The following is a 26744-nucleotide window of genomic DNA, read 5'->3' on the forward strand; positions in this document are numbered from 1 at the left end:
TAAACTGATAAAGATGGTAGTAGGGGTGGGAGTGATGCTGATGGCATGGACCTAGGTATTTCCTAAATGTATTTTATCTATATGCCATTCTCCTTAACCTTGATAGTCTTTATGTTCTTGGTAAGCAATAACTGAATGTGCTTACAGGGCTAGACTGAAGTTTTTAGATCCGAGAACATTATGGCTTCTTCAGAGCAGAAGTCATATATTCTTTGTGAATCTCCATCCCATGGCCCAAATCCATTTTGTTTCTTTTCCCATTGCTATTTTTTTTATTACTGATATTTTTGGCCCATATTTAAGGTATAAACCTACTTTGGGAGCAAGGGATTAAATTGGATAAGAGGTAGATAATCTTAGTAATAATCCTTTCCTTAAAACCTTTTTTAAATGAATAATCTGGCCTGTAATCCTAGTACTTTGGGAGGCCGAGGGGGGCAGATCATGTGAGGTCAGGAGTTTGAGACCAGCCTGGTCAACATGGTGAAGCCCCGTCTCTACTAAAAATATGAAAAAAAATTAGTTGGGTGTGGTGGTGGGTGCCTGTAATCCCAGCTACTCAGGAGGCTGAGACAAGAGAATCACTTGAACCCAGGTGGTGGAGGTTGCAGTGAGCCAAGATGGTGCCATTGCACTCCAGCCTGGGTGATGAGAGTGAAACTCTGTCTCAAAAAAAAAAAATTAATAATCTGATGTATTACCTCCTATAAAAGTTTTGGATTTAAAAAAAAGGTTACTAGGATGCCTAACCAATGAAAAAGAGTGCAAATAAGTAGTCCATGAACTGATTCCTTTAAATGGCATATTCTGAGATTTTTGTTTTTAGTTTTTGTCATAATTTGTCTTGGTAATAGAATTATTAAAAAAAATGATTCGGGTAAGGGACAGATTTTGGCAGCCTCATGTTTTATAATTAAGTAAATACGTTATTATAATGTAGAATTTTAGAGCTTTTTAAAAAGCCACATAGGTTTTTGCATGTGACACAAGTCAAGATTGAGACTGATTGATGATAATTATCAGTGTATTAAGCATGTATTTATGTCATTTATCTAGCATGTACTGCCTTCAAACTTTCCTGAATTAGCAAAAATTCTTCCCTATATTTCTTTTTAGTAACTCACTGATATATGATAAATGATGAAGAAAATAAATGTTAAGCCTTTCATTTTTGCCATTGTTAAATGGTTTAAGGCTTTGATTTTCTATAACTATTTTATACTCTAAGAAAAAAGACAAGAATTTTTTCCTATAAAATCTCAGTATCTTATTTCTTAGTCACACTTTAAAACTGAAGAGATTAGTAATTTTTTCTATGTCAATATGTGAAATATGCAATACAAAATTGTACAAACCCATTTAATTCCATTCTCTGTCTTTTGTCAATCAAACATCCTCCCTGATAAGAGCTCAATTATTTGATTAATTATAAATCGCTATTTTTTGATATGATATTCACAGTAGAATAATTTATAATAGACAAAATTACAAACAATAAGATCTTGGTGTTCAGTGGGATTTATGGTGTTTTCATGCAATGGAATACCGAACTGACACAAAAGTCATGTTAGAGAAGAATATTTATAGATGTGGGGAAAAGTTCATGATATCCATTACACAAAAATTGTGAGCTATGGAAGTTTTATGTATAGCTGCACGCTGTATTTTTTCATCAAACCAACATAGCAAAAATGCTACAAAAACTTACACTTATTCCTGGGGGCAGGAAGCGGGAGAAGGCATTGAGGATGTTTTATGATTCTTAAATTTTTCTTTAGTTTTTTCTATGTTTTTCAAAGTTTCTGCACTGACCATCTGTTAGCTCAGTAAGTAGAAAAAAACCTTTTTAACCTAATTGCTCAAATTTAAATGGTTTTATTTAATTTCATTATCCAAATCAGCCAATATTTATTGAATGCCAGCCTAGTGTAAGACACTGTAGGAAGACATTTTTAAAACAATTTTCCCTGCATTCAAAGAGCTTCCAGATTCCAGTTTTAGAAGAATTAGGTGTAAAAATTATAAAATGTTAAAAAAATCAATAAAGTTTAAAGAAGTAAATCCAGGCATGGAAAGGTGATAAGTGACATATGATTGATTATAGGGGCACTTATTGCTAGAGGATCACTTACTCTCTGTTTAACATTCTTGTGTTAAATCTGATAAAATACGAATCTAAACAATCCATGCTTTTTTCTTTCCTATTTGTGCAAAAACCTGGTTGTATTTCACTGGTGACCTCATCATTAGTGAATAATCCTTTTCTTGAGTTTAATTTCAGTGGCATTTAGTAAAGGAAGCACAGGTTTGGAACCTCCTAGTTCCTTGAGTGCAGGAGTATACACTTATCATTTCAGACAAATCCTTTGTCTGAGATTTTTATTTAGATACAGGCTATAAAGTTTTCTTCCTTCCCTAATTCCTGATGTGGATTGAAAGATAGAGGAGGGGAAAAAGACACATCTTTTTGCTGTGGAGCTCTTAATATCTTTTCTAAGTGATAGAAGGGAGAGTATAGTAAGCTAATCAGTCATTTAGTCAATGGCTATTTTTTGAGAGATACATAGAAATATACTAGCACCAAAGCACAGTGCTGCATGCCAGTCAGTGAAGTGGCAAAATAAAGAGGATGGAACTGAAGGTATTTAAATAATTTCAAATAAGGATCCTAACTTTATTTTTCACCCTCAGTATTTAACCATCTTTGTTCATTCCTCCCATGGGAAACACTGGGAATGAATTATTGTCATTCAATGAGGCTAATTCTACTGTAAAGCAATATGCTACTTAGCACCATTAAGAAAAATAGTATTTTTTAAACCTATAATAACAGAAACTGATGGTTTAAGTTTCCCTGAATGTTATCTATGGGTAGGTAACACAAATAATTGTTGAATCATATTCTTCTGTCACACCATATAGATTTTCCCAGATCTCCTTCCAGAGTAATTTTCAAAACCATGTGTGAGAATATGTATTTTCCCCCAGAGGGGACGTAAGCACAGGATAAATTTTAAAAGTGGTACAATAAAAGTGATAACAGGGTCTTAATGACATTTCTTCATGCCTGATAAGTGAGAATGATGCAGGGATAATTATTTCTCCATAGCACTTGTGAATTATATTTATCTAATGAAAATTTTTTTTTCTCCCTATTATTGATCCTTCCCTCCTTTCCTCTCTCTCTTCCTTCCCTCCTTCCTTTTCTTCCACTGTAAAAAATTGTCTTTTTTCTCTCCCCTATCTTTTTCCCTCCCTCTTTCCCTCCCTCCTTCTTTCCCTCCCTCCCTCCCTCCCTCCCTTCCTTTAATAATTTGCATAGATATGTTTGAAATTAGATTTCTACAGCTACTGCTGGAGAGTGAGGGGGGTCTTTTCTTATCAATTTAACAAATAAAAAGGTTTATAAGCTGTGTTCTCTGGGACAAAACAAATATGGTTGCTCGAAAAAAACAACAGTAGCCTCCTTATTGAAACAGACCTCTTCAACAGCTCCTTTAAAAACTAAAAAATAATTTATTTAAAATAAAATAAGTATATTCTAACAAATGAATACTTTATTCAAGTAATACATTTGGTGTAAAAAATTTACATCACTATTTTTCCATAATATTAGAAAATTATTTCTCTGAAATAAAAACCTTCATTAAAGGATAACTTCTTGGCGGGGCGCAGTGGCTCATGTAATCCCAGCACTTTGGGAGGCTGAGGTGGGTGGATCACAAGGTCAGGAGTTCAAGACCAGCCTGACCAACATAGTGAAACCCCATCCCTCTAAAAATACAAAAATTAGCTGGGCATGGTGGCACGTGCCTGTAAGCCCAGCTACTCAGGAGGCTGAGGCAGGAGAATCGCTTGAACCCGGGAGGTGGAGGTTGCAGTGAGCTGAGATAGCGCCATTGCACTCCAGCCTGGGTGACAGAGCTAGACTCAAAAACAAAACAAAACAAAACAAAACAGATAAGTTCATAACATCATACTCACTTTTACATAGTTATAAGCCTGTTAAAACATACAAATTTCTCATTTAAGTGAATTTACCATTTACATTAAATAATATTTATCGAGCACCTGTACCTTTCTCTACCTGAAGCTAGAAATTCTGCTAATCAAATTACTGACAGAATAGGTAATACCCCCGACCTTTCCAGGAGTCACTGGTCACTGTTTATATTATTAATTAGTCAGTAAATTCTGAAGTAAATTTAGGATTTTTTAAAAAAGATATGGCAATTGTTTTTTTCTTTACTACATTTGGCCAACTGAATATTCTCTTTTTTTCTTTTTTTTTTCACATGCCCATTGTGTCAAATGAATATTCTTGATGTTATATTTTTACCTGAAAATTTAAAAATTCTGAATAATTTCTCACACTCTAAATTCCCAGAGGATAACAAGAAGAGATAAAGGAAACTTTATGATCTTTCCAATGCTCCTCCCTTCCTCCTAGTGATATGAGGAATAAACATAATAGCGTTTATTGAATGGCTTGGGGGGAAAAGCATTCTGCTGTCTAGAGTCAGAATATTAGAGTTGGAATCCTAAGAGAATACCTTGCCCAACACCCTCATATTACATGTGAGAAGAATAATGAGCCATGAAGAAGCTAACTGACTTCCCCCATGTCACATGGTTGGCTAATTCCCTCACAAATCTGCCCATCTCTCTGCTTCAGTATTCTCCCAGTTGCTGAATGAGAAACTGCTCCCTTCCTCTTCAATCTCTCCCCAGCTCCCATCAGTTGCACCTCTGAACCACCTCTTCTTTGTATTCCCACTGCCTCCTTCCCAGTTCAGATACTCATGATCCCCAGCCCATGTTCTTGCAGCAGTTTGCCACTGTTCTCCTGATGTCCAGTGTCCAGGTTTCTTCTTCTCCCCAGCTTTCACTTCATTGCATTTTCTGCTACTAGAGTCATCTTTTACATCCAGACCAGATGCTGTCCTTCTTCTATAATCCCTGAATGACTTCCTGACCCCTGAATATAAAAAAGTTATTTTTCTTTTCTCTTTTATTTTTAACATTTCAATTCAAAGAAGGATGTGATTCAGTATGTATCATAGATACATAATAATATAAACAGTCTCTTTTCTCAAGAGCTTAGAGCTTTATTAGGAAAAAATCCATATATTAAAAAAGAATAATAATCTTTATGATACTTGAAATGATTTCACGTGTATCATCTAACGAGCTTTATATATGATTCTGTATATCCAATATTTGCAAAATTTAAGGGACTTTTTTCTTTTATGTAATATTTGACATAAAAAGTAGATATATATATAATGCATATGTAAATTATGGAGCATCAAAGAAAAATAAACCCTTATGTACCCACTTGTATTAGGGTTCTCCAGAGAAACAGAACCAGTAAAAGATACATGACTTCATAACATTATACTCACTCTTACCTAATTATAAGCCTGTTTAAACATACAAATTTATCCTTTAAGTGAATTTACTGTTTACATTAAATAATATTTATTGAGTGCCCACACCTTTCTCTACCTAAGCGAGAAATTCTTCTTTATGTAAATATATATACACATACACACACACACACACATGTGCATGCATACACGCACACACACACACATATATACCCACATGTATAAAGGAGATCTATTACGAAGAGATAGATTTATTTATTTATTTTTGAGATAGAGTCTTGTTCTGTCACCCAGGCTGCAGTGCAGTAGCACAATCTCAGCTCACTGCAACCTCTGTCTCCCAGGTTCAAGCAATTCTCCTGCCTCAGCCTCCTGAGTAGCTGGGATTACAGGCACCTGCCGCCATGCCCGGCTAATTTTTTTGTATATTTAATAGACACAGGGTTTTACCATATTGGCCAGGCTGGTCTTGAACTCCTGACCTCAGATGATCCACCTGCCTTGGCCTTGCCAAGTGCTGGGATTACAGGCATGAGCCACAGTGCCCAGCCATGAAGAGATTTATTATGAGAAATTGGCTAATATGATTACGGGGGCTGAGAATCCCACTATTTGCTTTTTACAAACTGGAGACCTGGAAAACCCAGTGATGTAATTCAATCTGGCCTTTAATCAAGACAGGGTAAATCATCAGTGGGCTTCATGTCTTTTCCCATCTTATACTATTTCTTGTAAGATCAAAGCATTTGGCCCAATTTGAATGTCCTAAACTCATCAAAGTAAGGTGACAGGGAATGAAGACAAGTTCCTTTTAATAACCCTGGCTTCTTTGTTCTCTGACAATCTTCAAAGAGTACTTTGCTCCTGAGGACAATCTTGTGAGAGCAAAGCAAGTAAATATCCTTATTTTTGTGTCTTCATGTCTTTCATCAGTGATGCAAAATTATTAGCCATTTCTCTTGGAGAAGATTCTGTCCATTCTTTCATTTCTCTTTATCTGGAATTTCAATTAGGTGTTTGTTTAACTTTCTCATTTTATTCTCTGTGCCCCTTAATACCTCCTTAATATTTTTCTTCTCCTAATACTTCCTTGCTACATTCTGGACAGTTCCATTCATTTATTCAGCAAATATTTATTTAGCAGTTACTAGTGGTAAACACTATTTTGGGCAGTTGAGTACCTCAGGGAACAAAATAAATGCATCCCTACCCAGGAGGCGCTTACATTTGAAGAGATGAAATTAAGAAACAGACAATAAATGATAAATATAGTAAGCAAATTATGTAGAATGTAGAAGGTGATAAATGCCACGAAAAAAGGCAAGTAAATGCCATGAAAAAGGAGAACAAGATAATTCCCTCTCTGTTTTTATTGGTCATTTAACATTCAATTAAGTTTTTATTTTAAACAATTATTTTTTTATTTCTAAATGTTCTACTTGATTATTTTTCAAACCTGTCTGGTCACTTTTGAAAGTCTATGGTTTCTGCTCATTTAAAAAGTTTCACATTTTACTGCTAAGATTATCCAAGGAATAGTAATTTTATATAATTACTAATTACAATAATAAAAGTTTTGAAGATCTCTGTATTTATTGCTTATTTCTATTTACTCACAAAGGTAGATTTTCCTTTGTGTGTTTGATAGTTTATTTTAAAATTATTTTTATTATGAGTTTGTTTCAGATTGAATGTAGTCTGTGAAAATTCTAAGGGCCTAAAGTGAAATTACTTCAGAGAAGATTTGGATTTTCTTTTGCTGGGAGCCAGGAGGCTGTGCTGATCTGGAATGACATTAGCCCTTCTGAGAATCCAGTTGTAAATGTTGAAATCTCAGGTTAAATTCTTACCTAGGGATTGGGATTGGCGTGAGATTTAGGTGTAGTATTCTGGTCCCAGTGCTGGTACAGGTGTTGCTCCTCAGATTAGTGAAGGCTTCTTACCATTTCCATTTCAACTCAATGTTTTTGTTTTGGTTTGGAGGCAAGAGCTAGCCCTAAGCTATTTCTCTTCTTTTTGAGCTCAGCAATTCTTTAAAAAGCATCATTTTAAAAATAGTTATTAACGAATTGGGGGTATTATAGTGGAGAACCATTCAGGGTATCTAGTCTGCCATGCTGCTAGAACTGAACTCAACACTAAGTTACCTTTCCTATTCCTATCCTGCAGCTTCTCACTAATTCAGCATCCTTTCCTCACTGCACTCCCAGTTCAATCTGGTACCTCATATTACCACACCTAGTATTTACATGCCTTTGTTTGTGCAATAGCCTTCATATCTATCTTCCCCTACTCCCAATAAATGAACTTCCACACTTTTCTTTGCTGCCCAGAGAAATTCTATCTGCCTTTTAAGCCTACTAGAAGGTCAGCTGTTCTGAAAACTTCCCCTAACCACCATGCCTCACCTCTCCAAGGCAGAATTACTTCCTCCTTTATAAACTAATATCATTACCCTTGATACTAGGGTAGAGAATTGAGATTACTTGGGTAGAGATCAGCCTGCCAATTTGGTATTAAAGAACCATATCTTAGTCATCTGTGTTTCCCTAATGCATAATGTGGCCATTCAATAAATCTGACAATTTAACCTAATTGTGGGATTCGCGATTGCAGTTTTGGTTGCACAACTCCCAGTTTACTCCCCTTAGGCATTCACTGCTCTTGGACGTTGCTATTATTACTCAGGAAGATTTTCTTGGCTTCAGATGTGGGAGTTTTGTGTATATCATTTGTCCTTCACACTCCGAGAATATTCTGATAGGTTTTTTTTAATCATACTCCCTTCTGTCAACAGAGTTTAAATTCTTTCTTAAAAATAGGATTGCCAGCATAAAACATTATTATTACTGCTAAAAATGGTGGTAAAACATATAGCTATGTTTACTTAATTACAATATTTCATTAGATACGGTCATTATTGGCCTGCACAAATTTTCAGAATGATTTACTTCTTAAGAATTTTGAAAGCTGGGAAAGTGGTATTCTTTACTTTTAAAAATTATATTTATAGTATATGAAGACATTTTAATTGTTAAAAAATTATTCTAATAATATCAAAGTATTTTGATTAAAAGTGTAAGTCCCTTTTCCCACAGTACCACTTCTACCTCATGGGTACTACTACTAACAATTTAGTGTATATCTTTCAAACATTGATATAGATATTGATATAGAATATAGCCATTAAGTTACAGTGCTATTTCCTTTACTAGAGAGCAAAAGGTCAAATTACATTGATTTTTCTGTCATTGAGTATTCATTTGATGTCAGCAATAGAAAAATAAACAAATATATATCAAGCTCAATACCAATCACATTGGATGCTAGGACACTAGCAATGACATTTTTATCTTGCATTGGACAGCTTATGATGGAATGAGTTTGTGAGGTTCATAAGAATCAGGAAAAAAAGGGGTAATTAAAAGCAACTCTAATGACAAAATCACAATACATCATGCTTAAGTAGTTATATAAAGCCATTATTCTGTCCAGTGGGGGTAATTTTTTTCCATTTTTTCCCAACTTATGGAAATTAGTTATATATTGCTTTTTAGCATATAGAGACCTGGCTTTAAAAAGCTTCTAGATCCCTAATTACTCTTAAAGTAACATTTTGTTTCCTGTATAATTTAGAAAAAAGCCTCTGAAAGCCTATGATCCTTTTATTTATAAAAAATAAAAAAGGGGAACATAATTTATGACCAAGAATTTTCAAATGAAGTGTGTTAAGAACACACTTATTTAATCTCTGGATGAAGGGTTTGCATCCCAATTCCAAGCATAGAATCTTGGAAGGAACTGAAAAGACCTTGTAAGTAACCAAGGGCAAATTCTTTTCTTTGCCGAAAAACGAGGGAATTTTGATCCTCCCCAGAATACTGCAGGAAGAGCACCAGGATCCCAGAAGTCCTGGGTTTGGATCTCAGCTCTGTCATTCTAAGCCTGAGTTCTCTTCTTAAACTGTGGTGAGAATAGCTATGGCATGGGGATGTAGTCAATGAGATTAGTAAATTACATGAAGTAGATGTGCCTGCCCTGTCCTTATACCAAATTAGAGAAAAGAGTCCACAGTGTTTTTTCCCTTCCCCATTCCACCTTGTCTAAGGGTACAGATCTAAGTTGTAGGAAAAGGGGGGCAAGAGTCTAAATCATCTGACTTACAGGCCAGTTAGCTTCCCATGAATTTCTTTTAACCAAGCCCTGATGCCTTTCACCCTCTTCATGGAGATTATTTCCGGTCCTTAGACACACAGATGCCCCTTCACTATGAATGCCAACTGTGTTCTTGGCTGATGATGGATCATGGCAGTCCCCTTCTTCCCCTTCTATGACTTTCCTTTGCCTTCAGGATAAAGTCCACCTCCTTAACATAACCTAAAAGGCCCCTGTTGACCTCTCTACCCTCTGTGTTTCCTCTTCTCCTTAGACACTCAGACCCAGCCACACTGAACTATTCTCAAGTACTCTGTTACCTCCATGCATTTGCACAATCCCCTCACTCCTCACTAAGCAAATTCATACCGACACATTTTGTTTGTTCCAACTTAACATGTGATCCTTTCTGGGAAGTCTTACTCGACCTTGGATCTCATGCTCCTCATCATAGAACATATCCTAACACTGTGTAGTAATGGATGATTGACTTATGTGACTGCTCTGCTCAGCTACAACATCCTTGAATCTTGAAGAGACTGTGTGTTATTAATCTTAATATCTGTCACAGCTTGCACAATACTTTGCACTATAATTCTATTATTTATTTTTAGCTTTTTAGTTGAAGTAGACCATACATTCCAAAAGTTCATAAATCATGTATGTACAGCTTAATGAATTTTAACAAATAAAACTTCTGCCATAACTAGCATCAATCAAGGAACAGAACATTAGTCCAGAATCCCTCTCCATGCCCTTTTTCAGTCATTACTCCTCTTATTTCTAATACAATACAGTGTTTTTGAACTTTATATAAATGAAATCATACAGTACATATCTTCTTTTGTGTCTGCCTTCTTTTGCTCAATATTATGACTGTAGGATTCTAAAAGCTTTTTAAAAAAATGGGTAATATTGCTGTATCTAAGATTTTAATCAATGTATATGAGAGGTTTTCTATATCACCACTTCAGAAAGAAGGCAGCTATTTTGAGGCACAGATGAAATCCCTCTCTAGTGGTTGTGGTGATAGCCTGCTCAGCATTCTTTTTTGTGATTTCTATCAACCCAATTTTGTTCAGGTGTACACCCCTCTATGGAAAGCCCAAGTGACTCCCAGTGGACGGGTCTGGTTGGTAAGCTTTCTCCCCCTTGTCAGGGATTGGCTCAGGAATGGGAGTCTCCATTTCAGCCACTGAGGAAATGTTGCTGGGGTTCGAGGTATCTTTTTGCCTCCTACTCCAGGAATGCATGCAGAAGCAACCCTGTCACTCTTCTCCTGGATGTGTCATGTGTGGGCAGTAGGTTCAGACACTAAGGCTACTCTGGTCGCCTTTGTCCTTGAGGATGAAGTTGATACAAAGAGGAAGACAGAGCCAAGAATCACAAAGAAATAGGGCTTGCTACTGCATTAAGCCATCCTCGAGCCTGTGCTACCTCTAAGTTTCTAGTTACATCATGTCATCCAGCAAATTTCATTATTGCTTAATGTAGTTTGAGTTTTTTTTTTAAATACAACTAAAGGCACTTTAACTGGTATGTGTCCCAAGGACTCAGATGATTACTTGGAAGGCACATTTAATGGAATTGATGGTGATGTGAAGCTTTGATCTTGGGAAGGGGATGCGAGTCAGACAGTGAGGGATGGAGTGACATGGCATGGAGGGCTCCACCTACAACACAGGCTGAGAAGAAATCCCTCAGGAGTGAGCTATTTGCACACTGCTCACAATGCCTTGGGTTGTCAAGGCTCCATGGGTATGCTACAGACTTGAGGAACCTTTTAAGTGAAGAACGGCAACATTGTGAGTGGTGGGGATGAGGGCAGCTGCCTGTGCCAGCAGGTAGAGAAGCTTCTCCTTTCCCCCTCCCATGGAGGAAAGGACGGCCAGTGCAACAGCAGTGGTAACCCTACATGGCCCAAGGGTGTTTCTTCAGAGCACAAGGAGTGCCCTGGATGGCAAGTTGCCAGATTTTGGTAGTAGACGTGCAGGAAGACAAGGTTCTCAAGTGCTGGACACGAGGCGAAGCACAGGCATGTCAGATCCCCAGTGTTTTCCCAACACTATAGTGTGAAAATGAGAGTGATAAAAGTGGTAGGAAAGGGCCCCTCGGTGGATGGAGCTAGCTTCTCTCTCTCTCTCTCCTTCTCTCTCTCTCTCCCTCTCTCAATCTCTCTCTCTCTCTCTCTCTCTCTCCTCCTGGAGATAAGAGTAATTATATTGTCCACTAGGACTGAGAAAGCATGCCTGAGGGCGCTGGAGTTACCATGGAGAGAGGACTCTCCAGTGAGAAGGCCGTTCTGCATTTATGTGATGTAGAGCTCAGAGTGATTCAAGCTGAATTTACAGAGAAAATAGTTCTTTCTGCCACCCAAGCTGGGGAAGTGGGATAGACCAGTTCTGTTGGCACACAGGATATGAGAGAGACTGTGGATGAAGGTGGCATCTGATTTGAATTGTGAGAGAAAGATAGAATTTATACTTGCAGTGGGGAGGATGTTTTCATTAAAGGGAACTGAAAGTGCAAAGGCAGAGGGGCAGGAAGTGCAGAGTGGCTATTCAGGGTATGTGAGAATGAGAGGGGTGAGGACATTTGGAAAGAGACATGTCTAGGTGGAAAAGAGTTGTGAATGCCTCTGAAGAGGTTCGAATCTTACACTATAGGTAAAGGTGAACAATTAAAGGATTTTACCATGTCAATGATATGATTTAAATTGGCCTCAAGATGATTAAAATCAGGATGGACTAGAATAGAGAAAGATAGCGAGTGGGGAGACCAAGTTAGAGCCCACAGCAATAGAACACAGGAAAGGAAGTGGGGGCCTGAATTAGGGTTGTGGTGATAGACTATAGAGAATTTCTGGAGGTGAACTTGACAAGAGTTGATAACTGATCGGATGTGAATATGGCATGATTAACAGAAACTGCATCATTGTCACAAAATCTAGTCCCAGAGGTTGATAATTTTTTCACATCATGTTACATTTTCCACTTAACCATCTTTCTGGTGAAATGATTCCCAACTTGCAGACTATTTTGGGAGTACATTGTAGCAAAATGAAACACACACACAAAAAAGTGATAAGTGTTACATGTAAAAAGAATTTGCCTGGAACAGACTCCTTTCTCTCATGGGGTTAACAGTAGTACTGCTTTTGATGAAGTGCATTGTGCATCCCAGTGATGGTAATAGAAAGAGAAGAATTTTGGGGGCCCCTTGCACCTTCATGGCCCTCTCAACTCACTATCAGAACCTACCAGAAGTGAGTCAGAGCCAAGAACTGAAGAAATATTTTTTACAGTTTTTCAGAATTTGTTTTTTTGACTGGAGTGCATTCATTTTCTAAGCAAGAAAACTGTGCCTGGAACTTGACTCCAAAACATAATTCCCTTTATTAGTAAAGAGATGGAATTGTGAATGTGTTCCTTAAGGAATGGATGCCAAAAGCTTTCTTGATGATAAAAAGGTAACAATACCCCTTAAAGTAGTGTTTTTAAATGAATAACTTCATTATCTTCTCTTCCAGAGGGAAGACCGTAGAAGCTTTATCATAGGGCCTAGTGTCATGATCATATATTTACTCCATAAATACCTGTGAGGTAAGTATCAGGAACAGATTCTAAGTAAAAGACCTTAGATGGGAAAACTCCCAAGCAGTGATATAATATTAAAGCTGTTGTTGTAGGAGAACTGTCTTATTCTTGGTTAGTTGGAAAATAAACAGATCTTCAGAGAAAAAAGTAGAGGGAAGGGTGTCTACTCCTGAGGGCTGTTTGGTTCACTCATTTAATATTTGACTCAAGAGTTGGGCATAAAATTAGAGGGAAATCTCAGTTCCAGAGATTCTAAGCAGATTTTAAATTACTCATCCCCTTCCATGTTGTTGGCTTTGAGAATATCACTGACGACTATGGAGGGATCCTCAAGGTCCACAACTTCTTTCTCAGGGAAAGGCTAGCAATGACTTCTTAATTTTGACCTTGGCTGTTTAACAGATCTTTTGTTGTTGTTTGTTTGTTTGAGACAGGGTTTCTCTCTGTCACCCAGGCTGGAGTGCAGTGGTGCAATCTCAGTTCACTGTAACCCCCACCTCCCAGGTTCAAGCAATTCTCCCACCTCAGTCTCCTGAGTAGCTGGGACTACAGGCAGGTGCCACCATGCTTGGCTATTTTTTTGTACTTTTGGTGGAAACAGGGTTTTGCCATGTTGCTCAGGCTGGTCTCAAACTCCTGGGCTCAAGCAATCCTCCCATCCCATCCTCCCAAAGTGCTGGGATCACAGACGTGAACCACAGTGATCATTTATTTTCCCAGATTTACATTGCTTTGTGTAATCCAACCTAGAGGTCCAGTTTTTGTGGCACATAGTAATTAGAATGACTAGTTAATCCTCGAAGGATAATCTGGAATATTTGCATTATATTTTACTGCATAGCAAATCCTGCACAGCCCCACTAAAGGAAAGGGGGCATTTAATACAGAGCAAGTAGTAATATATAATAAAAATGAAAAGCATTTAGTAGCAATGAGATATTGTGCCCCCAAATCATCCTTCCAATACCATGATTTGATAGTACAGGGAATGCTGGAAATTTTCCAAAAGAAAATGGAAATACAAGGATTCTATTTTTATTGCATAACAAGGAAAGGAAATGCTCAACTACCGCAAGAATATGTTGGAAGCATATGGATTTTGAACCAAAAGATGAAAGTGATATTATGCCTCTGGAAATTCAGTGTCTTCATTGTGATTTAAAGTGTCATAGCCCACAGTAAGCATCTTGGCAAAAGCAAAAGAAAAGAATGAATAAGAAGCCTAAGTAATTATGAATCTACATTTCAAGATACGAGTAAGGAAAAAAGGCATAAACTAGCTAAAATTCTTATTCAGGCCAATTGTCTTTAAAATACATCAAGGCATTCTTAAAACTAACTTAATTGCCAGAAAAACAGCAAAGTATCACTATCCTAAGTATGACCTAAAAATTAATAATAAAAGCTCTTATCTATATAGAATAATCATTTCATTACTTGCTTCCTTTTGTTACCATTCAGAAATTTAATAGTGAATTGGAAGTAACCTGAACCAGGAATTATTATTTCTCAATCCAAGAAAATTGACGGAAGATATTCATGGACTTGCTGCCTGTATCAATGAACTATTGTTGCATAACAAACAACCTCAAAACTTGATGGTTTAAAACAACGATTTATTTAGCTCATGATATTGCAAGTCAGATTGGCAATTTAGGCTGGGCTAAGCTGTGCTCATGTGTCTGCGTGCAGCTATGTGATGTCTAGTTCACTGTGATTCCAGAGCTCATCTGGTTGTCAGCTGGGACCCGTTGGCTCTCCTCCATGTGATTTCTCATCCTTCAGCAGCTAGCCAGAGCTGGTGCTTATGGTGGAACAGGGGTCCAAGAGAGAAAGTGGAAGCATGCAAGAGTTCTTGAGGCCCAGGCTTATAACTGGCACAAGTACACTTCTGCTGCATTCTATTAGCCAAAGCACCTAACAAGGCCAGCTCAGATTCAAGACATGGGAAATAGACTCTATATCTTGATGGGAGGAGTTGCATGGTCACATTTTAAAATCATGGATACAGGGAGGTTGTTAATTGGAACGATCAAATGATCAATCTACTATACTAAAAACTCTTCTAACATTTTAAAACATTTATTAAAGAAGTATTTTTTTTCACTTGATTTTTTAAGTTGTTGTTGCTGTTTGTTTTTTTGAGACAGGATCATACTGTCACCCAGGCTGGAGTGCAGTGACATGAGCATTGCTCACTGCAGCCTCAAACTTCTGGGCTCTAGGGATCTTCCTGCCTTAGCCTTCAAAGAAGCTAGGATGCTTACCTAGGTGTCATACCCATTTCTTATTCCATATAATAAATCTGAAATTAGCCAGGTGAGATGACTCACGGCTGTTATCTCAGCACTTTGGGAGGCCAAGGTGGGAAGATTGCTTAAGCTCAGAAGTTAGATACCAGCCTGGGCAACACAGGGAGATCCCGTCTCTACAAATAATGAAATAAAATTAGCTGAGTATAGTGGTGGGCACCTGTAGTCCCAGCTACTTGGGAGGCTGAGGTGGGAGGATCGCTTGAGCCTGGGAGGTCAAGACTGCAGTGAGCGGTGATCACAGTGCACTCCAGCCTGTGCACTCCAGTGCACTCCAGGTGACAGAGCATCACCCTATCTCAAGATAAATAAATAAATCTGAAATTATTTGAAGACAGTTGTTTATCCTCAATGTTCTACTCTTGTTTTCAGTGTAATGAAACCATGAATACTGTGAGAAAAGGAACCAGTCCTATGTATTTTGAATCTCCTGTGCTTATGACAGTCTGGCATAAAGGAGATGTTCAGTAAATGTTAATGAAATAACATTTAGTTACCAATGTTAAATATCCCCAGTTCTTCCAAAAATACCTGACGTAGCATGCTTTTGTGCCCTTCATCATCATTCTTGTCCCGTTTGGGGACAACGTTTGGTCTAAGTAGCACAAAGAAATGTGGTAGTATTATGTAGAATGATTAATGAGCCCAAGATTGAAATTACTGTTCATTCATCTTGTCAAAGAAAACCTTTCTTGTTTTCTTCTATGAGCTGTACTAAGTTCTGTCACTCCTATATCACATTTACTCTGTTTAATTTCAGCTTGTTTCATTTATTCCACTACACCAAGAAGTTGAAGCCTTCTTGGGTACTGACTTTGTCACCTAAAGTAGACTCCCTTGTTCAAAACTGCACATGATCTACAGATTTGATAGGCTTATTTTCATAATTTTATCTACACCGAGAATAACAGTGTTCAGATATGGCCAAGATGAATCCATTTTTCTGGTTGATATCTATTTATATATTAATATTCTTTAAGTGTTTCTCTTGTGCAGACTATGGCAATGGCCCTTACGTTGTCTCTATCATTTCCTCCCTTAAATTCCTCCTTTACAAAATAGCCATAGTGACTTTTGTAAAACTTAAATCAGATTATGTCTTGCTCAAAACTTTTAATGGCTTTGGCTTTATTAGAATGCAAATTTCTTGCCATGGTCTATAGGCCCCCACACCATCAGACCTCTGCACACCTCTCAGCACACTGAAGACAGTCATTTCACTGATGGCTGTGAAGTCGGCTAACGGGTTACTGTTCTTTCAAAGGCAATCTGTCTTTTCTTCTTGGGAAGCTTTCTAAGATTTCTCTTTGTTTTTGGTTTTCTGATGTTTCACTCTGATTTGTCTAAGGGTAGATCTCTTGGTAGAGAAGTCCCCTGTATGGATAGTGGATAGTACAGAACCCTATATATACTATGGTTTTTCCTATACTTACATACATACCTACAATAAACTTTAATTTATAAATGAGGCGCATTAAAAGATTAACAACAATAACTGAGCTGATCTTAGTAACTTCAGCATGTGATTTATTTTCTTTCCTTATTAAGTAGAGAATGTTTATCTTTTCACTTAAAGGAAGCACTTTATGGTTTCTCTTTGGCAAATACAAATCACCAGCATCACCATTCTTGCACTTTGGGGCCATTATTAAGTAAAACTAGTGTTACTTGAACACAAGCACTGCAATACCATGACAGTCTATTTGATAACTGAGACAGCTGCTAAGTGACTAACAGGTGGGTAGTATATAGTATGGATACACAGATGAAGGGATAATTCACGTCCCAGGTGGGTGAGATGGAATGGAAATGACATAAGATTTCATTACACTACTCAGAATAGCATGCGATTTAAAACTTTTGAATTGCTTATTTCTGAAATTTTCCATTAATATTTTTGGACCGCAGTTGACTGTGGTTAATTGAAACCATGCAAAGTGAAACTGTGGATAAGTGGGGAGTTCTGTATTAATATTGCTTGAGATTCACTGGGTTTCCTGACTCTATAGGTTGGGGTCTCTCATTAGTTCTAGAAAATTCTTAGCCTTTATGTCTTCAAATATTGCCTCTGTGCCTCCTTTTAGAATAGCAGTTAAACCAGGGGTGTCCAATCTTTTGGCTTCCCTGGGCCACATTGGAAGAAGAAGAATGGTCTTGGGACACACAAAAAATACTAACACTAACAACAGTTGATGAACTAAAAAAAAAAAAAATCACAAAAAAATCTCATAATGTTTTAAGAAAGTTTACAAATTTGTGTTGGGCTGCATTCAAAGCCATCCTGGGCTGCATGTGGCCCGGGGCCACACATTGGACAAGCTTAAGTTAAATTTATGTTAGCCTAGACCTTTTCCTAATATCCTCTAATTCTCTTTCATTTTCCTCTGTATTTTCCAGCCCTATGTCTCCCCATACAGTTCTCTGGATAATTTTCCCAACCTGTATTCCAGAACATTAATTCTCTCTTCAGCTTTTTAGGTTAATCTGGCATCAAACTCATTCATTGACATTTTTACAGTTTTAGTTATCATATATTGTATTTCTAGAAGATCAGTTTTTTAAAAATTCCACTTTGCAACATTTTATAGTTTTCTGTTTCTTACAGATGTCTTCAAGCTTATCTTCATTTACATTACATGGTAAGCATAGTTCTTTTACTGTTTGCCTTTGAAGTCTTTATTGGGGTTGGGGGTCTGTGTTTTTATTGTTTTTGCTGATTCTTACTCAAGTCTAGTTTCTTTATGTTGCGGTTTCCTTTGTGTGTAGGACATTGTATTTGAAAAATTATTTGTGTAAACAATTTGAGTCCCACAGGTGAAGGCCCACTAATCTCCAGAAAGAATTTTTGTTTGCTTCTTCTAGGCTTCTCAGGGGGCACTTTCACCTTAAACTAAGTTGAAGTCTTGAGCTAGCAATTGAATCAGGGGTTTAAATTTTCTTCCTGGGCTGGCTCACTTCTGGTTCATGCCTGTCTTGAGTGTGCAGCTCTGTGGAGGGGAGCTTCCAGTTTATTTAGGAGACGATCTTCTACGAATTCTCCACATTGTGCCATCTCCCTTGCCCAGCAAGCCCTTCAAAACAAAGCTTCTAATTTATCCAGATTGACAAATGACTTCAGGGCAAAAGCAGTTTCTGTACCCATTTCTCTTCAACCCATTTACCTTCCAGAGTTCTCATTTTCCCTTGACCTTAGGCCTTTTAAAGAACTATCTTGTTATCTCTTTGATAATTTTAAAATGTTTCTTTTAAGTATTTCAGTTGTTTTCATCAAGATGATTGATTCAATACACAGGAAACAACTTCACTTCAAATTCTCACTCTGTTATTTTGTAGCTGCATGGCTTTGGACAAGTTATTTAACCTCCATGTAACTCAGTTTTTTCATGCGTAAAATGGGGCTAATACTACTACCTACATTACAAGATTACATGTAAAGAATAGTGCCAGGGTATAAAAAGTATTTGATAAATGTTAACTATTATTACTATTGTCATACCACCTTATTTATTTCCTTTAGGCCACTTACCACTTTCAAAAATTGTCATATTATTTTTATTGTTGTTGTTTTCTCTTCTAGTAGAATATAAGCTTCATATTTTCATATTTACCACTATAAAATTGAATACTATTATTTTAAATGAATTAATAAGCATATTCAAGTTTTCACTATAAAAACATCGGCTTTGGGCCAGGCACGGTGGCTTATGCCTGTAATTCCAACACTTTGGGAGGCCGAGGCGGGCAGATCACAAGGTCAGGAGTTTGAAACCAGCCTGGCCAATATGGTGAAACCCTGTCTCTACTAAAAATACAAAAATTAGTCAGGCGTGATGGCATGTAGTACCAGCTACTCGGGAGGCTGAGGCAGGAGAATCGCTTGAACCCAGGAGGCGGAGCTTGCAGTGAGCGGAGATCGTGCCACTGCACTCCAGCCTGGGTGACAAAGCAAGACTCTGTCTCAAAAAAAAAAATAAAAATAAAAATAAAAAATAAAAAAAAATTAAATAAATAAATAAATAAATCAGCTTTGGCTCAATCCCAATAGCACAAATTGAAAATAGGCCAGTTTATGTGAAAAAGCAAACAATCTAAAGTCTATTCTATAGCATGTTCTTTTTTAAAAGAGTGAACTAAAAACCCACCTTAATCCAAGAAAAGTGAAATAATAATTAGACCATATTTTACAATTTAATTTCCAAAATCACTTGGATATACGGCACATTATTTCTGTGTTCGAACAAATATGCCCCTTTTCAAATTTTAAATAACAAGATACCTTAGTTCAAGTATTTTTAAAATTTGCATATGCACTCCTTTGCCAAATATCTCAATCTTTCATCATTTATCATAATTCTAGAGACTCTTTCTTCCATGGAGTCATTCCTCCATTTACAGGGGTTCAGGGATGTTCTGCACGTAATTTCTCACATTATGACCTTTTGATGAAACTGCTGCATTATGCATTCTATTCAGTGCCAGTGAAAGGAATGAACTGTAAACATGTTGATTGTTAATGCCTCATCGTGGATAGAGATACCATTTGGTTTATCATTTGGTAGCTAAAACTTCCCTATTACCTCTGTCTTCTCCCAACTCAGAATCTCAGAAGATTATAGATCATATTAGACAGGCTGTTGAGTTCGTCTTAAGAAATGCTCTCGGCCGGGCGCAGTGGCTCACGTCTGTAATCCCAGCACTCTGGGAGGCCGAGGCGGGCAGATCATGAGGTCAGGAGATCGAGACCATCCTGGCTAACACGGTGAAACCCTGTCTCTACTAAACATACAAAAAATTAGCCAGGCGTGGTGGCAGGCGCCTGTAGTCCCAGCTACTCGGGAGGCTGAGGCAGGAGAATGGCATGAACCCGGGAGACAGAGCTTACAGTGAGCAGAGATCGTGCCACTGCGCCACTGCACTCCAGCCTGGGCGACAGAGTAAGACTCCGTCTCAAAAAAAACAAAAGAAATGCTCTCACTCGCTGACTCAGACTTGACATCTCTCTTTGGTTCTGCATAAGGAGATTAGTGATTTCCTCTGCAAGGAGAGCCCAGGAAACTCCTTCTCCAGTTAGGTTACCTGAAGCTCTCTTCAGGTGCTTTCACTTTATTGCCTTCAAAGGTTTTTTCAGGTAGTATAGTGAGTCAATCTTAGTACAATTTTTATATTCTTTCTGGTCACAGAACATATAAGCCTTTGCAAAGATAAATCTAAATATTAATACATATTTGATAGTATGTCCAGCTTTATGTGATATATTTCACCCCAAAAGTTTTACGGCTATTAGATCTTTATAAATTAAATTCTAATCAAGTATACTAAGGGGTCTTTGTATTTAAAAATAAGCCTGAGATTAATTATTTTTAGAAATCAGAGTGAAGAGGAGGAGCAGGAGGAGATAAAGTTCCACAGGTAGAGAGGGCCAAATTGTGAAGATAGTTGTATGAAATAATAAGTTACATACTGACTATTGTCTGGCCAGCACTGTTTTAATGCAGGGTCCTGCTGGGGGTACTTTGTGAGTTATCTTTTCATCCCTCATGCCATCAATGTATGATAATGTATGCATTCGTCCATAAAAAGTAAATGAAATTGTAACATTGAGAAATGAAACACAAATCTCAATTTCTTTTAGGGCAATGTAGTCTTGAAGTCTTGAGTGAAAGAATGGAACTAGAAAAAAATATTCTCTAAGACTAGCTGTGTCTAAGTAAGAAGGTTATGAAGAAGATATGGCGCCAGGCATGGTGGTTCACACCAGTAATCCCAGCAGTTTGGGAGGCCAATGAGGGAGGATTGCTTGAGGCCAGGAGTTTGAGACCAGCCTGGGCAACATAGCAAGATGCCTTATCTCTACATATAAAATATATATATATATTTATATAACATTTATATATATATATATATTATACATTGCCGGGCATAGTGGCACACACCTTTAGTCCTAGCTACTTGAGAGGCTAAGGTGTGAGGATTGCTTGAGTCCAAGAGTTTGAGCATGCAGTGAGGTATGATTGCACCACTTCACTCAACCTCTAGACAACAGAGTGAGACTCTGTCTCAAATAAAAAAGCGTTAAAAAAAGAAGATAAAGGAGAGCAAAGTACGGATAATGCTGGACTTTCCTATTGTCATGGTTTAAATGTCCACTCCAAAACTCATGTTGAAACTTAATCCCCAGTGTGGCAGTATTGAGAGGTGGGGCCTTGAAGAGGTGATTGGATCATGGGAGTCTGCCCTCATGAATGGTTGAATGGATTAATGGGTTATCATAAGAGGGGAGCTGGTAGTTTCATAAAAGGAAAAAAGAAAGACCCAAGCTAGCACATGACCATGCTTGGTCTCCTCATAATGTGATGCCCTGTGTCACCTGGGGACTCTTTTTTAGCAAGAAGTCCCTCACCAGATGTGGCTCCTTGACCTTGGGGCCAAACTGTAACAAATAAATTCCTTTTCTTTATAAGTTACTCAGTTTCAGGCATTCATTATAAGCAACAGAATATGAACTAAGAGACATATTAAAGCATGTTTTTCTCATTGGTTATAGAGTGTCATCAACTGGCTTGCAGTAAAGGAGTAATGTGATAAGATTTTGTTTTATTACAATAACTCCAAGAGCCACTTGGGGGGTAAATTAGAAAGAAAAGTGACTAGAGACACAAAATCTCATGATGGAGTCATTGCAGTAGTTAAGGCAAGGAAAACAACAAGAGCCTAATATATTGGAGAAGATGCAGAGTTATTTGGGAGGTTGAGTTGGCAGGACTTGCATTTTAGTGGCACTCACAGGTTTCTGAATTGCACTCTTGAGGGACTGTTATGCAAGTTACTAAAATAGGGAATGTAGGATGAAGGGTAATTTGGTGGCAGATGAAGAGGAATGGATTTAACGAGTAAGATACTGAGTTCATCTAGAGAATCTTGGAGGAGGAATCTGTGAGTATCCATGTGGAGTTGTTCAGTGTACATATTGGATACACAGGTCTGGGACTCAGAAGAAAGAACAGGACAGAATTAAAGGTCTGACCTACACCTACATTGGGCATGTAGGTATAGGTCAAAGACATGGATGAGATGGCTGAAATGACTTGGGAAGATCAGTGAAGTGAAAAGAGAAGAAGAGTAAATGTAGAACCAGGAGAGCCTGAAAAGGAAGGAAAGGTTGGAGGGAAGGAAAGATAAGCAGGAGAAAGTGTGTTTTTAGAGGCATAAGGAGGAAAAATGCCAAAGGAGAAGAGTACTTCAGGAAAGAGAAAAGCCAATAAGATCAGAGAGTCCAGGGAAGTCTAGCATAATTGGTTTCTGAAAGGTTTTCACAGGATTGGACAAATACAAGATCATTGTTGATTCTGCAAGAGTACTAGAGAAGTGAATTGAAAGTGGGATTCAAATTTTCTCCCCCTTGCCAGCCCTTATCCTCACCTGCCTGGGCCTCCAGACACTCTCTGACTCACCCCACCCTGCCTTTTGTGTTGTCTGGGGTGGGTTCCTTAGCACTAAAGTTCAGGGCAGAATTTCCTCCTCAAAGTAGAAAAAGAGCTGTGTGTGTAGGAAAGAGAGAAGGGAATCAGATTATAGTCACTTAAGTAAAGCAAGATTTCAAGCCCTGGGGAAGTCAAGTCTCAAGGGGTCTAAGGTGGAGCTGCAGATTAAGGGTACCAGGTGGGAACAGAGGGTTTCAAGGAAAGCAAGTTACAACACAGGAAGAGAAGTTGGGGAATTTCAGAGAGCTCCACTGGGGTTTTCCCAATTTGCCTTCAAGGTCTGATAGGTGAGTCTGGCTGTCCAGAAGCAGGGCAGTAAAGTGAAGAAGAGGTGACTGTAAATGTAAAACAACTTTTGAGAAGTTTATCTGTGAAAGAAAGGAAAAAGTGAGGGTTTTTATACATTGGACTTTTGTAAAATAAGGCATGTACAACGATAATTTGCTTCCTAAATTTAGGGCTCATTACACATTTGAAATGCTGGAATCTGGGATAGTGGTGATATTAAGATAATGGATATAATTTAGAAATATATTTATTCTTCAACAAGTATCTGTAGTTAATGGGGCTGATTGTCAGAAAATAGACTTTAGTCTAAATGATGATTAGCAACAATAATTTTTTGTCTGTCTTATTTTCATTTTTATTTCTACAGGGAAGAAAGCTAATGGAACTTGAGAGCAGGTGAAATGGAAGGCTATGTGCAAGTTCTAAGGGAATAAAGTTTGTTTTCTAATGTTGCCTCTTTATGTAGATTGTTTTTTCATAACTTGATTAAAAGTCTCCGTCCTTTTCACCTTCTCCCCTGCCTGAAGTCATTTCTGCCATGTATATGAGCTAACGATTTTTGGTGTAGTCACCTTTTCAATTGATCTGTGTTGTTTACCAAGTCTCACATCAATTTCAACTGTGCTGCCTCCCGGAGTTCTGCTAACTTGTGAGGACAAACAATCCTCTCCGCCTGGCAGGCAGCGGATGACCAGACCGCGCTCAGTTCTGATTGGTTGAATCCCCTGGGTCTGATTAGTCCAGATGAGTCAGAAGGCACGTTCCCAAGCGTGAGCTATGTTTATTGTTCGTTATTGTTCTAAGTCTTAAACAACTGGAAAGATAACAAATAAAGTTTCCTTGAAAACACATCTTTTTCTAAAAAGTGGCTGAAAATACTTGCACAGGTATGTTGTCTAGTGGTGGCAACGACATGTATCAGTAAGAGCTCTTTAAATTAAAAGTGACCTGATTAAATAGATTTAAATAAAAAAGGGAATTAGTTGGTTCTCATAACTGAAAGTCTGGGTGAGAGTTCAGGCTCACGTGAACTTGAGTGCTCAAATGCTGTCATTACAAATCTGTCTCTCCACTGGGGACTACTAGATAGGGGAGCGAAGAAGCAGGGGCAAGAGTTGAAAAACTATCTATTGAGTACTCTGCTCACTACCTGGGTGACAGAATCATTTGTATGCCAAACCTCAGCATCATAAAATATACTCATGTAACAAACCTACACATGTACCCCCTGAATCTAAAACAAAAGCTGATTTTTTTTTTTAATCTTTCTCTCTCCGCCTCTCAGCTCTGCTGTCTTCTGTGCTGCCTTCATTCTTAGGCTCTAACCAAGTCATGAGAAAAGTGTCAGCCAGCAGCTCCAGGCTTATAGCCTATCAGTTTTTGAACTCCAGAATATAGGGAGCACCTCTTTACCAGTGGTTCTGGAAGATATATCGGAGCTAAATTTCACCTACGAGATGGTTGAGGAGGGTGTCCACGCCTCAGATAACCACTAAGTCCAAGGACTGGACTGGACTGATAGACCAGGCTTATCTTGCATACCCACTTCTGGAATTGGGGGTGACTCTGGGGTCAACCACGGAAACAGCAACGAGAAGTGTGCTGCATTCCTGTAGTAGGTCAGAGGATTTCATTAGGGTTCAGCTCAAGTTCCATGTTCTCACCAGGCCTTTCACATTCAGGGAAGGTAGGTCCCGTTTTACCTAACAGTAGAATCTATTCTTAAAAAGAGGAGAGAGGCTATAACTGATGTGAGGAAAGCAGCCCTCTAACAGAAAAACTGAAGAGAGTAGAAAAAAAAAAAGCCAAAGAATACCATGAGAAGGGAAACAAAGAGTTAAAAAGAGGCACAGAGAGAAAGACAAAAAGATTAAAAATAAACAGAAACTGTAAGCAAACATAAGGATCATTAAACAGCTATAAAGCTAATCACAGCATTTGCCTAGACCAATTCCAAGAGAAAGCAATTTTCTTTGATGTAAGCACCCTGGGAAGGAAATATTGGCCTGTTCTGGCTCATCCCCAAGGTGTGTGTCTCTCTTGTCTTTTCCTGCTCTCTGTCTTCCATCCCTTCTGTTCTCTTTTTAACTGCTCACATCTGTACTGACTGCTTTTTCTTCACATAAGTAGCTACTACCTTCCACCTTCTCTTGGCTTCTTTTGCTTGACTTCTGCACAGCAAAATTTTACTTCCCAATTCTCCAAGGTAAGATGGAAATGAAAAAGATGAAGATGACACTCTACCAAGCTCCTGGCATAGTTATTTGATGTGCCAGAACTAAGACAGACCACATAATTTTTAGGGCCTGTTATTCAAAACTTATTAAGAATACTATGATAGGCCGGGTGCAGTGGCTCACACCTGTAATCCCAGCACCTTGGGAGGCTGAGGTGGGCAGATCACTTGAACTCAGGAGTTGGAGACCAGCCTGGCCAACGTGGTGAAACCCCATCTCTACTAAAAATGCAAAAAATTAGCCAGGTGTGGTGGTGCATGCCTGTAGTCCCAGCTACTCGGGAGCCTGAGATAGGAGAATCGCTTGAACCTGAGAGGTGGAGGCTGCAATGAGCTGAGATTGTGCCCCCTCACTCCAGCCTGGGTGACACAGCGAGACTCCATATCAAAAAAAAAAAAAGAAAGAAAAAAGAATATCATGATATCAGAGCATTAAACTAAGAACAGGGATTTTCTGGGACTGGGGTCTGTGCAACTGCACAAGATGCACACCCATGAAGCTGATCCTGGACAGAGTTCTTGGTTACCTTCCCACCTGCTCTCCTTAGATATTCCCTCTCCTCCATATGGCCTCTTTTTAGAGGAGGCTGGTCCCATCCCTAGTGCCAATAATATGTTCCCATTCCCTTTGTCTGCAACTGGCTTATTCATGAACACATGATACAGCTCTGGTCAATGGGACTTCATTTCTTCTTTGATGAAAACAGACACATGGGAAGAAGCAGTTCTTTTTTCCCTAGACATTGTGCAATAATGCCTAGCACTGCTTCAGGCATCTTGCTAAATAAGAAACACTTTCCCAAAGACAGCAAAGTAGAAAGAGAAGACATCCATCAATTAGTTGTTGAATTAACTAGCCATGAAGTCCTTCCCACTTAGATGTCTTGGTATGTGAAATAGATTTTTTCTTATTGCTTAAGTCAATGGAGTTGGGGTTTTCTGCTTATAGCCAAGGGCAGTTTAATTAACGTATCTTAGTAATCAAAGAAATTATTACATAAAAGTAAATTCTTACATAAAAACAGGAACAGGAAGGAGAAGGGCAGTAATGTAAACTGTGGTGCAATACAGGAGGACCAGGCTTAGTGAAAGTATTTTTTCCTACTGAAGAGGTTCATCTCAAACAGTCCACCTTCCTTCTCCCTCTTGTGAGATGTTAAAGCAGATGCATGGAAAGTTTAGAAAAAGAATACAAAGTAACAAAACATAAAATGAAATGCAAACCCAGATTTCAGAAACACTTCTGTTAATAGAAACTTTGGCTTACAAATAAGATTTCTTGACGG

The 26744-nt window shown here is 38.2% G+C and overlaps 1 long non-coding RNA gene across 1 annotated transcript in view, besides 1 other annotated feature; it reads left to right on the forward strand.

Moving 5' to 3' along the window:
- LOC102724158 (uncharacterized) overlaps positions 1-23730 on the forward strand; it is a 38699-nt gene extending 14969 nt beyond the window's left edge. Inside the window, exons 2-3 of the long non-coding RNA XR_427598.4 lie at positions 13075-13147; positions 23590-23730. This is a non-coding gene — a long non-coding RNA (uncharacterized LOC102724158). The remainder of the gene's footprint in view (positions 1-13074; positions 13148-23589) is intronic.
- Positions 12212-12261: an enhancer, noted in NCBI's record as "active region_21873". NCBI's record gives its function as "activates an Ori minimal core promoter by ATAC-STARR-seq in GM12878 lymphoblastoid cells {active_cell/tissue: GM12878}" and the evidence as "EXISTENCE:reporter gene assay evidence [ECO:0000049][PMID:35858748]".
- Positions 23731-26744: the final 3014 nt, after the last annotated feature.

This window comes from Homo sapiens, chromosome 4 (genome assembly GCF_000001405.40).
Source record: "Homo sapiens chromosome 4, GRCh38.p14 Primary Assembly".
NCBI classification, from domain to species: domain Eukaryota; kingdom Metazoa; phylum Chordata; class Mammalia; order Primates; family Hominidae; genus Homo; species Homo sapiens.